The following is a 12,669-nucleotide window of genomic DNA, read 5'->3' on the forward strand; positions in this document are numbered from 1 at the left end:
GAGGCTGAGGCAGGAGAATGGCGTGAACCCGGGAGGCTGATCTTGCAGTGAGCCGAGATAGTGCCACTGCACTCCAGCCTGGGCGACCGAGTGAGACTCAGTCTCATAAAAAAAAAAAAAAAAAAAAAAAAGAAAAGTAATTCAGGTTCACTGTAGAATAAAATAAAAATGTAGAGGAAACTAAGAATCATGCATTATAACTAAGAGTTCTTTAAAAATAAGAAAGACCTTAAAGAGCCTGGGCTGTGTAGTTCTCCAGCCTTGCCTGGGGGAAGGAGAATGAGTAACTTGATCTTTGGATGCTTTTCAAGAAATTTAATGTGAATAACTTATTTGTAAGTGTCCTGTAGTTGGTACAGACCCGATGCTGTATCCTATACAATATGCAAAAAATTTGAAAAGATCAAGAACTCTATCTGATCTCTGTTTTTCACAGATTACCAAGTGTAACTGCATTTCCCCCACAATTTTTTAAAACAGTTTCTGTGGTCATAAAAACTTTCTTTTTTTTTCCTATTTGTTAACAGAATTGGCTGAAATTGTGGTATTTAGAAATTTATCATCAGTACATCTGAATTCTTAACAGAAATTCCAGGAAGCCTTGAGGCTTCTGGGGAAGTATGCTTTTTTATTTATTTATTTATTTATTTTTTTTTTTTTAGCAAACATACCAGAGTTTATACCTTTAAATGCATGTGGTTTTCTCTGGAGGAGGAAGCAGTGTACTTTTTCAGTGTGTTCCTATTGCTGAAAATACTCCAGGGGAATTACAGGAAAGAGGAGCAGGACAGCTTTGAGTTGCACATCCCAACACTGACTCTCAATTCCTAGACTAAATGGCATAAAATTTTTCTCACTTACTCAGCAATGACTCTTCAAAAGCCACCGATTACATCTCTAGATCTGTCCAGCCAACACAAAACAATATTTTCCCTATGCCTGAGGGAGGGCAGAACACTTTGCTACTCCTGGAATTTAGCATATACTCACAGGCAGTGCCACCTCCTCACCTGAGGCTGAGCAACCAGAGACCCAGGGTGGCTGGTTACACGTGACTTTGCTCAGTTACACCAGGAATTAAGGACAAAGTTGATACACTATTCCAGGTGTTGCGACTCAAAAGAAAGGAATTTTTTTCACTTAAACCCTCAAACATGGATTCTTGCATGATCTACCAACCACTCTGGCCATGATAAAACCTAATACTCATCCATCCATGTAGTTCTCGAATCTCTATGCATACAGTATATAATATCCATGATACACGTGCACCACATTTATTTCCCAACTATTCCCCAATTTCTGGGCATTCGCTTGGTTTCCAGATTCTTCTTTCCCTCCCTACAACAATGATGCAATAAAATTCCTGTACACAGAATCTTGCATATCAATGCTTTTATTTTTATGGGCTAGCTTCCAAAAGCTGGGTCATATATGATATCTCCCTGTGTTTTTTATTAATAGAGTTTGCCAGATTGCTTTTCAAAAGTTCAAAGACCACAGGAATGTATTAGACTCCCCCCATCTCTTCATCTAACTGCAGTGGTGGATATTATCGCTCCTTTGAAATATTTGCTAATTATTTTTTAAATCTGTAATACATATATTTGGTAGATTTGTATTTGGAATATATTACAAGCTTGTATATGTCAATGAAAAAAGTTAAAATTTTACTAATTTGATGGGAGGGGTATCTCATTGTAGTGACTGAATGGTGGACCCCCAAAACATATGTCCATGTGGTAATCCCCCAAAACTATGAATATGACCTAATTTGGAAAGGGAGTCTTTGCAGATATAATTAAGGATCTCTACATGAAATTATCCTGGCTTATCTGGCTGGCCCTAAATTGAATGACAAGTGTCCTTATAAGAGACACACAGAGGGGAGACACAGGGAGAAGCGGTGAGGGCCAGGTAAAGATGGAGGCAGAGACTGGAATTACACATTCATAAATCAAGGAACACCAGGAGCCACCAGACTCTGGAAGAGATAGGGAGGGATTCACTCCTAGAGCCTTCAGAGGGAGTGTGGCCCTGTCAACACCTTGATTTCAAACTTCTTCTCCCCAGAACTGTGAGCATATATTCCTGTTGTTTTAAACCACCAAGCTCATGTAATTTGTTACTGCAGCCCTAGGAAACTAAATATACTCATTGTTACCATAAACTTTTGTGTTTGTCTGAAAACTTCTGAGGTTGAGCGTATTTTCATGTGGTTTTAATGATCATTTGAATGTGCTTTTCTGTGAGTTAACTACTTATATCTTTTCCCCATTTTCCCTACTGATTCTTATGAATGCTGTGGCAAAGCAGACATTAACACTTTGCCACATGTTGTAAGACACCTATCTAGCCTGTATTTTTTAGTTTGTTTATGATATGTTTGGTCATGCAATTAAAAAATTACATGGTACAGTATGCTTATCTTTTTATCTATCCCTTATTAATTAGCTCTGTATTGATTATAAACATTTCCCTGACACTTGGGGTATAAAATTATTCTCCCAAATTTTCTCTAAAATGTTTGTGGTAGGCACAAAGATGGTTCCCCAAAAAGTCCATGACTTTATTGCCGAATCCTGTAAAAATGCTATCTTACATGGCAAAAGGGACTTTGCAGATGTGATTAAGGGTACAGATTTTGAGATGGGGATATTATTCTGGATTATCCAGGTAGGCCCAATCTAGTCACCTGAATCCTTGAGCGGCAGATGTCACTATGGAAGAAGGGTTGGAGAGATGCAACATTGTTGACTTTGAAGATGGAGGAAGGAAGCCAAGGAGTATGGCTGACCTCTGAGAATGGCAAGAAAGTTGATTCTCCCTCAGAGGCTCCAGGCTGAAACCTAAGCCCTTGTGAAGCCTGTATCAGACTTCTTCCCTACAGACTGCAAGGCCCTAACTTGGTGTTGGCTAAGCCGCTAGGTTGGTGATAATTTGTTATGGCAGCAATAGCAAATCAATACATGTTTGCTGCTTAATTTAAATTAATGTGTACCATTATCCACCTATCATTTACTTTTGAATGTATTAGCAAGTAGGGCAACAACCGTTCTAGATGTACCCTCCATTCTGTTGTACTGATCAATTTGTTTACTCCTTTGCCAATATCCAGTTGTTTTGATATAGTCACTTCTACACATTCAAGTACCTGGTAAAAGACAAGTTAGCCTCTGTTCTTGTTTTGTTTTTTAAATAGTTTCCCTGGGTTTTTATAGATTTTGTTTTATGTCCTCTAAATAATCATTTCTTGTTGTATCTTATTAAGTCTTTTAAAATTTATGTTGTTATGGTGAAAATTCCATCTCCATTTGTAATTGATAATTCTTGTAAATAAAGTATACCACATACAACCGTGTCTCAAGGCCTTTGAACTTGCTGTTCACTCTTCCTGAACTGGAATGTGCTTGTCACAGTTGTCTGCACAGCAGAATTTGTCACAAACCTCAAGTTTCTGCTCAAATGCCAACTTATTGTAAGTGAAGCCCTCCCTAATCACCTCATAGAAAACAACACACCACTGCCTGCCATCCAGTCCATCGGCTAAGCATTTACTATACTTCTTCTCTGGCTTTGTATTTTTCCCCATAGCACTTGCCACCATCTGGCTTACCTACTCATTTATTTTCCATTACCCCCAACTAATATATAAGCCCTATGCAGAAAATGATTTTTTTCTTTTGTTCACGACTGTACTAGGGACCAGATGAATGCTTATTATTCAGTGAGTGTTTAATAAATATTTGTTGAACGAATGGCTATAAAGAAGACTTACTGATTTTTCTACATTTATTTTTTAGTCCAACAGCCTTGTCAAATATTCTTACTGATTGTTGCACTCCAGTTTTTTACTGGAGTCCTTCCACTCTTACAGGTATACAATCACATCATCAACAAAAAAGGTAATATTTCTCATTTGGTTGTATTCATTATGCCAGTTACATCTTGGCCAACTAAAATCACAGGGACCCCTGAAACAAAGATGAATAATGTTGATGGAAGCAGAGATCCTTATTTGTTTTTCACTTGATAAAACAAATACAAAGAAAAAACAAATACAGAGACTCCTCCCTGTGTCTAGGCCCTGTGCCATGAATCTTTGCTGTGAATCTTTGCAGTGCCCTCATATTTTGAGTCTAGGCTTAGTGAGGTGAGTGTTTGGGCCAAAGGGTGGTCAGCAAACATGATGCCTGAAAAGTGCTTCTCACACTAGACTTGCTCTTGCTTCTCGGCCGCTACCTGGGCTAGCCTGCTGCAGGAAGAGAATATGTTGTGGAGTTTTTCCAATGTTCTAGTAGAGGCCATCCTCAATCAGCCCACAGCTAGCCAGCCCCAGACACCAGACACGTGAGCATGCCCGATTATCATCGCAGAGCTGCTGAGATGATCTATAGCTGACCACAGACGTGCAAGCAGGCCCAGCTGAGATCCCCTGATTCCCACTGTGAGCTACACATGTTAATTATCACTTGTCACTGAAGTTTGATAGTTATGCAACATTACTGGGACAAGAGATAATTGATACATTCTCTTACGTCTAATTTTACTACAAGGAGCCTGAGAGTTTTGCCATTAGAATTCTGTTACTTGTTAGTTTTTGGTGGATAGTCTTTATCATGTTTAAGTGAAACAGAAGGATACACCGACTAAGTTTTTTAAAAATGGCTGCTGAATTTTACAGATGCATTTCCTACATGTACTTTTATAATCTTTTTCCTCCTTTAATTTATTGATTGGACAAATATTTCGATAGATTTCCTAATTTTTAACGATGTTTAATTCCAGGAATAAATTTTTCTTGATCATAGAGTATTCTTTCTTTTGAGATGGCTTTGGAATGTACTTGGTAATATTTTATTCCAAAGTTTGCCCTTATGTGTATATGTGAAATTAGCTCATATTTTTTTTTAGTCTGTATTTTCTTGGTCAGATTTTAGAATAAAGATTATATTAGCTTTGGGAAATGATTTTGAAACTTTTGGAAGTGATCAAGGAGCCCAAATACAAGAAAGGACATAAATATTTGAACGACATATTCTACACACTCAATCTAATAGATTTGTACACAGAACTCACATCATATGAGTTAATAAAATAGATTTCTGATTGTCCATGGAATATTAATAAAATATAAATCACAAGGTTAAAATGAACACCTTTTTTTAAAAGTAGATATTTTGATAGGATATAATCTTAGATCGTAAGCAAATAAAATTGATTTTAAATAAAGCAATAGCTAGTAAATCTTATCTACTTGAAAAATAAGAAACATCCTTTATAATAGCTGTAAGATTCATGAGAAAAGCAAAATTAAAATCATAAGCTATCTAGTATTAATAAAAAAGAGAATATGTTCCATCCAAAGTTATGAAACACAGCTAAAGCTATACTCAGAGGAAAAATGTGTGGCTTATAGCTATAATAGCTTCATTACTGAAGAACTAAGACGTTAACATAGTACTAACCTTAGTAAGTTTCATGAAGAACAAAAATGTAAACCTAAATAAAGTATGAAGAAGGAATTAATAAAGATAGATGCTGAAATATAGTGGAAAACAAAAATAGTAGAAAGAACAAATACATTCAAAAGCTGGTTCTTTTATAAAATATATAACCATCTTATTAATATGATTAAAGGAAGAAGAGGGGGAAATACTAGGATTGAGCAAATAGAGAAAAACATGCACACAAAAATGAAAATGATTATTAAGAAAGTACTAGAACTAGCCCCATTGTAATAGATGTGAAACCTAGAAAAAATGGATGATTTCTTAGCAAAACAGAAATTAACTGACCCAAGAGGAAGCACTAAAATGTAATAAGAAGAGACAGAAATGGTGATTAAAAGTCTATCATTTAAATGGGGGGAAGAAGTATCAGGATTACATAATTTCACAGCTGGGTTCCATTTAACTCTTAAAGAACAGATAATTCCAATGCTATTTAAACTAGTCTAGCCCATTGAAAAAGACGAAAACCTCCTGAGTTTATTTTATGAATTATATAGATCAGTGGTTCTCACAGTATGTTTCCTGGATCAGCAACATCAGCATCAGCATCATATGGGACCTTGTTAGAAAGGCAGATTATCTGTCCTCCCCTGAGACCTACTGAATCAGAAACTCTGGGGTTGGGCATCCAGGACTCTAAGATGATTCAAGTGCATGCTAAAGTGTGAAAACCATTGCTGTAGAGGTAGCTGGCCTACATTTTATATACAAAAGGCTACAGGTTGGGTAGGGGTGGTGGATGTAGCACCAACACCCTAGGGTTGGGACTTCCTCTAGCAATAGAAGTTGCATGTGTAGGGTAAGGTCAAGGGGGATTACAATTACAGTATTAATGTTAGCAGCTGCTTATATAGTGGTAGAAATCATAAGTGGTAATTGATCCAAAACTAATTTAGACATGGCCATTTGCATACTGCATTCTCATTACCAAATGAGAAAAATTATATTTTCATTGTAAAAGCAAACTGGTTATAATGGGTTGGAAGCATTTTAATATATTTTAATAATGAGGTAAAGAGTTATGTGAGCTTCACACCACAAATTTCAGGCATTTCACATCCATTCTTATCTCATTTCCCTCTGTATCTACCACAAAAAGTATTATTATTAGCTCAGTTTTTTAGATGAGGACAGAAAGGTTCAGAAAATTTCAGGAACTTTACCAAGAATACCTAGTTCTATGCAGCATTCAAAATCAGGTTTACCTTCCTCTAATCGTGCCTTGGCATCTCCTACTAAACTTCTTAGAACTTTTTTTCCAAGACTGGGCTGACTCCCAAGAAATCTGAGTCTATCTCCTCCCCCAATGGGCTTCTAAAAGTGTTTCTTCCAATAGATAACAAACATACTTCCTCCTCTTGCTAATTTAGACATGTTTCAAAGTAAAAGTCCTTCAATTTTTGTTGTTGTTGTTGTTGCTTTACCTCAGAAACTAACAAATCTTTACCCAGGCTATATAATAGAAACCATTTTAATATTAATAGTCCAGTCATTTGAAGATTAAGGGCCCGGGGTTTGCTTTGGCATGCAGAAGGAATACTGGTTACCTGCAATTCTGGTTTTCAGAAGGTTCATAACTGTAATAGATAGCAGCTCCCCCGAATCTAAATTTCCTGGCACATGCCAGGCCTGCGCTGGAAAGCTCAGATTTCCTTGCTTCAGACCACCCACAGGGAGGAGGCAGGAATCTGTCAACAGTGTGGTCTCCTCTATAAAGCTGCCTTCCACAGAGGGCTCTGGTTCCTCACAGTGAGATGCAGTGCACAGGCCAAGATGATTGGGTTGTCATAAATATAGATTCCCTGAAAGCAGGAATTATAAATGGGCTGGGGAACAAGGGAAAAATTATCCCAAAGAAAAATAGCATAAATATTCTTTGTATTTTCCTGCATGTATCTGGCTAAAATCGACTCTAGGAATGGTGGTGGCTGCATCACAAAATTTGCAAGGTGATCAGAACAGCTGATCTCAGGTTTTTTTTTTCTAAGGCATAGCATACTTTGGCTACTGGGTCAAGAAACAAAGTGTTAGGCTTACACCCTCTGCCTCCAGCCCATTGCTCAAAGTCTTTGAATTGGCACATTACTGTACCTTGCAGAATGTGATACACAACCCTGTAACCACGTACGGTTGGAGTTTGATGAAACTTCTCAAGAGAGCTAAAATCTATCTGGATGTAAACAGTTGTCTCTTTACTTTCCTACAATTAACTGATAGAGTTTAATAATCACTTAGGTAGGCACACTATTTATTAGGAGCCAATTAATTAGTCTATCATATCTGGTTCTAAAAAAAGTCATATTTTAAAAGCAAACCACAATTACAGATCATTCTTTTTTTCTCAAAATAAAAAAATGAATCATATGAGAGTTCTTGGCTGTTTTTATAAATATAATAATAAATTATAATAAAATATTAATGTTACTTTCTTACTTGGCAATAATTTTTAATTAAACTAAACAAGTATATACTCACTGATGTTGGCAAGCAAATTTTGATATCCTACACAGTGCCATGTGTATGCTGAACACTATCTGAAACCATGAATTAGTTTTAAATTTACTGAAGAGAAATAACATGGTAAAGTCTGAGCTAAAGTTTATTTGTTTAGAACATAAAAGGAACACATGCTCTTTGGAGAAAAAATTTAAACTACAGAAAAGTATTAAAAAATCACTAGTAATGCAACTATTCAGATCTCTCAATTCTTATTTCCTTTAGTTTTTTATGCATCTGTTTTTTATATAGTTGAAATTCTAAATAAATTCCCTTCTTATTTTTTTCCACCTAACATCATAACCGAACCATTTTCCCACGCTATAACCTCTTCATAAACAGCACTTTCAATGACTTTATATAGTTCACCATGTAGATATAACATTAAATATTTAACATTCTCCTATTGAAAGATATTTGGCTGATTTCCAAATACAAATAATGCCACAAATAACTTTCTGTGCCAAAATTTATTTCTGAATTCTGGATGGTTTTTTTTAGGAAATATTTTCAGAAGTGTTCCAGAAGATCCCAAAATTACTGCTGGAAAGAATATGAATAGTTAGTATACTATTGATATGACTGCAAATTGCTGTTCCAAACCATTTGCTTAAAGGGTCCTTCAAGAATTTCCCTGTGACTTTGCTCTGTCCATACTCAAAGATTTCTGCCAGGTTCCAGTTGCCTTGAGCTGAAGTATAAAAGGTTGCCTCCAGGAGTTTCAGGCCATTAGCTAATGGCCTGTTTCCATAGTTCACTGTGGTCAAGTTAAGACTATGAGTCTATATGGGCAACCACTGAAATAGCTTTTGTTGCCATCGCTGCAGCCTCTGTGAATTTTGCCCATCCGGCAAAGAAAGTGAGAGGTTGAGTTTTGAAGAAGGGCAGGCTGTAAGTTGTCAGAAAGGTTGGGGAAGGGATATTAGGTAGGACTATAAAATAAGAACCACCATGGCACATGTTTACCTATGTACAAACCTGCACATCCTGTACATGTAGCCTGGAACTTAAAATAAAAGTTGGAGGAAAAGAAAAAAATAAAAATTAAAACAAAAGAAGCTCTAGGCAGTTGAACTTACTAAGGGAGATAGAGTGTATTAAAATAATGATATTATCAATAACAATAATGGTTAGAAACAGGCATAACTACTACCAAAGTGCAGGCTTTAAAATTTGGAATTCTATGAAAGAATTAGGGAGGCTTAACAATACAAGGTTAGGGTGTTACGAAGGTTTTAAGTGTCTTTGCCAAGCCTTGTTTGAGGTCCTACTATGTAAAATCACTGGTGGATACAGAACATCCCTCTGTTTTGAAATATAAAGTAGAGTAGGTAGCTAAATAGGCAGAAATCATTCTGGAATGAATGAAATCTTTGTTATAAAAACAAATAGAGAAAAGTAAATTTGAGGCATGTGAAAAACTGCCTTGTTAAACGGGAGAATGGAAAATTGTTTTATTAAGAGGTAGATTGCAATCTTTGGTCTTTTGTGTAGATGTGTACTTAGAACTCTATACTTACATTTTCAAATTTGTGTTCTTCTTTAAATACACCATAGTTAACACTTTGCCCATGGTATAAACTCAATGAATATTTGCTCAATTTTAATTGAATATGTTTTCTTTCTATAATTATTTGAATTGGAAATTTTCTAGGTCTTTGAAGTGAAACTCTTCTTCATTTATGGAATAGGTGCATGTTCCCCTTTTGTTTTTGTGCCTCTATCAACCAAAAGTTCTAGAATCTTTCTTCCTGGGAAGGAAAGAAGTAAACTGTTTATTTTCTTTGCCATTTAAACTGCCATACCCATGCTACTCAGGCCCCAAACAGAACCTCTGCCCTTGGTGCTCCCTTTGTCTGGAAAGCTCTTCCCTACCCTTTCCTCTGGCTCCCGTTTTTTGGCCAGGTCTAGCTGGAATACTGCTTCATCAGAGAGGCCATCTCTGACCACACAGCGAAAGTGGGTTCTACCTCCTTGTACTTCACATTTTTGTTATTTTCTACCTTACCTCCTTGGCCTTTTTGTATATGTATTATGATTTAAAATTCCAATATTTTTCAAACTTTATAAGTTGATAATCAGAAATGTTTTACATTGATTCATGCACACACACACACATAACTGCAACAATAGTTTGACAAAACAACACGCTTAAGAAGTGTTAGCGGAATAAAGTTTTGTTTCTTTACTCTCTTTGAGTTTGCTAATTAAAGGAACAATCACAAAAGCTGTTTGTATCCCATTAACTTGATCTCATAACCCACTAACAGGGTGCAATCCAAAATTTGAACTATTGAGTTGTTTTCTGTCTGTTCTCCCCACTCCTTCCCTTCAGCCTACAGAAAAAATGTAAGCTCCATGAGGTAATAAAATTCTACTGTATTTGTCTTATTTCTGGTACACAGTTGATATTCAGTAAATATCTTTTGAACAAATCAATACATAAAAATGAATAATTAATAATGTCTTACTAAGTTCATCTTCCTTATTTTGTTATGCTTTTAACTAAAAATAATTATTTAAGTTGGAGCATCATTTCCTTTTTTGATAAAAGTATTTTTGGAATCTAATTTAATGTTCAGGGATCCATTAAGCATTTCAAGGAAGACACTGACATTACTAAATTGTTCAGCAATGCACAGAATTTGAAAATACACTTGAAAAATAGAACTTTGATATAAACTTGTAAAATACGTAGGATGTATACCACTGATTAAATAAATTAAAAAACTCCATTCCCCTATTCAGTGCTGTGTTGGGTAGAAAAGGGGTAAGTGAACAAACAAGTGGAAAAGAAAGTTAAGGAAGAACATAGAGAAAAGGATTGTTTTGCGCAGACATCTGGCTTTGCTTCCCCAAAGCTACTGAGTACGGGGGCAGGCGAGTGGGCTTGCTACCCTAAATGGGAGCCATATATCACATTGGAAGCTCCATGTCACAATTCAATTCTACTTGCAAAATGTTTCTCTGTGTGCTTATTTAAAATCTCTCTTTGTCAATGTGATATTCAATCATGCTACTACTTACTGTTTAATCTTTGTGAACTTGGGAAAAAGGAATTCTGTTCAGAATAATGAACTTTTCATGTGACTTATATATTGTTTTCTATCTATAAGAATTTCCCATGATAGGAAACGATTTACCAATAACCTTTGCTTTTTAAAAATAAAATGATGTACTTTGATTTCATTTCTTAAAAAGGAAAGGAAAACAGAAGAGAGAAGACTTCCCTTTAATTCAAAATCTTTCTTTACATAAACAACTACTTCTTCCAGAACTTCAGTGACCACTCATTTGCTCTACAGCAGTGATTCTCAAACTTCAGTGTGCATCAGAATAATCTAGAGGGTTCCTTAAACATAGATTGCTGGGCCCCATCCCTAGAGCTTCTTTCTCAGTAGGTCCGGGTTGGGGTCATAGAATTTGCAGTTCTAACAAGTTTTTAGGTGATGCTGATGCTCCTGATTTGAGCACCACATTTTGGGACTCACTGCTCTAAAGCAACGATTCTCAACTAGGGGAAATTTCATCTCTCAGTAGACATTTGGCAATGTCTGCAAACATGGTGATTGTCACCATTGGGTATGGGGTTTCTCTATTGGCATCTAGTGGGTAGAGGCCAGAGATGCTGTTAAATACCCTACAATGCACAGGACATTCCCCACCACAAATAATTATCTGGTCCAAAATGTCAATAGTGCTGCTGTTCAAAAATCCTGCCCGAAAAGGAACTCTCTTTCTCATGGCAGGACATTGTTTAACAAGAGTTTAAGTAATAGGTAAAACAAGAGCTACTTATTTCAGAAGCCTTCAACTAAAGTGGGATGATGTCACAGACATTAATTGGGTGGTGTCTCAAGCAGATATCTATGGTCATCTTTCTCTGTGTCTGTCTCTCCCACATTCACAAGTCCATTAAGCTTATAAAACACCACACAGCCTAGACACTTACTCACCCAAAATGTAAATGAGGATCTGTGTATGGCTGAAGAGGGATGGGAAGCCAGCTGGAATGAGGAAACACTTTTATTCCTCAAGGGGCCACAATTACTTTGTCCAAAGTAGATAGAATTCTGACTGAGGAAAATGTAAATCCCAAGCAGGACAGAAAAATGGAGTTGGAAAGGCTTTGCAGTTAACTAGAAGATGCAATATTTCTTTTAAATACTGTGTATTAATGAAAGAAGAACTTGCTTGACATCTTGGCCAGGGCTTAAGCAAAATTAGGAGGGCTTCAATGGTTCTCTATGATGCCCTCTCGTCTCTCCTCTCCATCTTTCATAGACTCTTCCAACCATCTATTTTCAGAATTTCCAGAGCCCATGCTACAAAGAAAACCTGATCTTAGATTAGAAAAAAGAAAGGCATTTCACTAGCAGATGTGACATCTCCCTATCTTTCCCTAAGCCCCTTTTTTACACCTGAGTCCGTATCTTAGCAAATGGTCCCCTGGGAGGTGGAAACTTAGGAATCATTCTTATTGTTCTTTTCATTTCCACCCCTATGTCATCCAGTTAATCTCCAAATGTTGTGAATTCCCCCTTTTAAATCTCTCTTCTGGACTCTTCATCCTTGCTCTTTCAATGTTGGTTCATACCAACATTATTTCTCACCTGGATTATAGAACAGCCTTGCAAATGGCCTGCCAATTTTAGCCCCT

General features: G+C 36.5%; 1 protein-coding gene across 53 annotated transcripts in view; it reads right to left on the reverse strand.

Moving 5' to 3' along the window:
- Positions 1 to 12,669, reverse strand: part of THRB (thyroid hormone receptor beta) — a 378,556-nt gene that overhangs the window by 181,990 nt on the left and 183,897 nt on the right. The window contains exon 4 of one of the 53 annotated variants that reach the window (XM_047448814.1): positions 5,469 to 5,502. The exons of 51 other annotated variants lie outside the window; for them this stretch is intronic. The gene's annotated coding sequence lies outside the window, so the exon portion shown is untranslated. Of the gene's footprint in view, positions 1 to 5,468; positions 5,503 to 7,060; positions 7,316 to 12,669 lie in introns of all 53 variants that reach the window. One more of the 53 variants, XM_047448815.1, reaches the window with a different exon arrangement.

This window comes from Homo sapiens, chromosome 3, assembly GCF_000001405.40.
Source record: "Homo sapiens chromosome 3, GRCh38.p14 Primary Assembly".
NCBI lineage: Eukaryota > Metazoa > Chordata > Mammalia > Primates > Hominidae > Homo > Homo sapiens.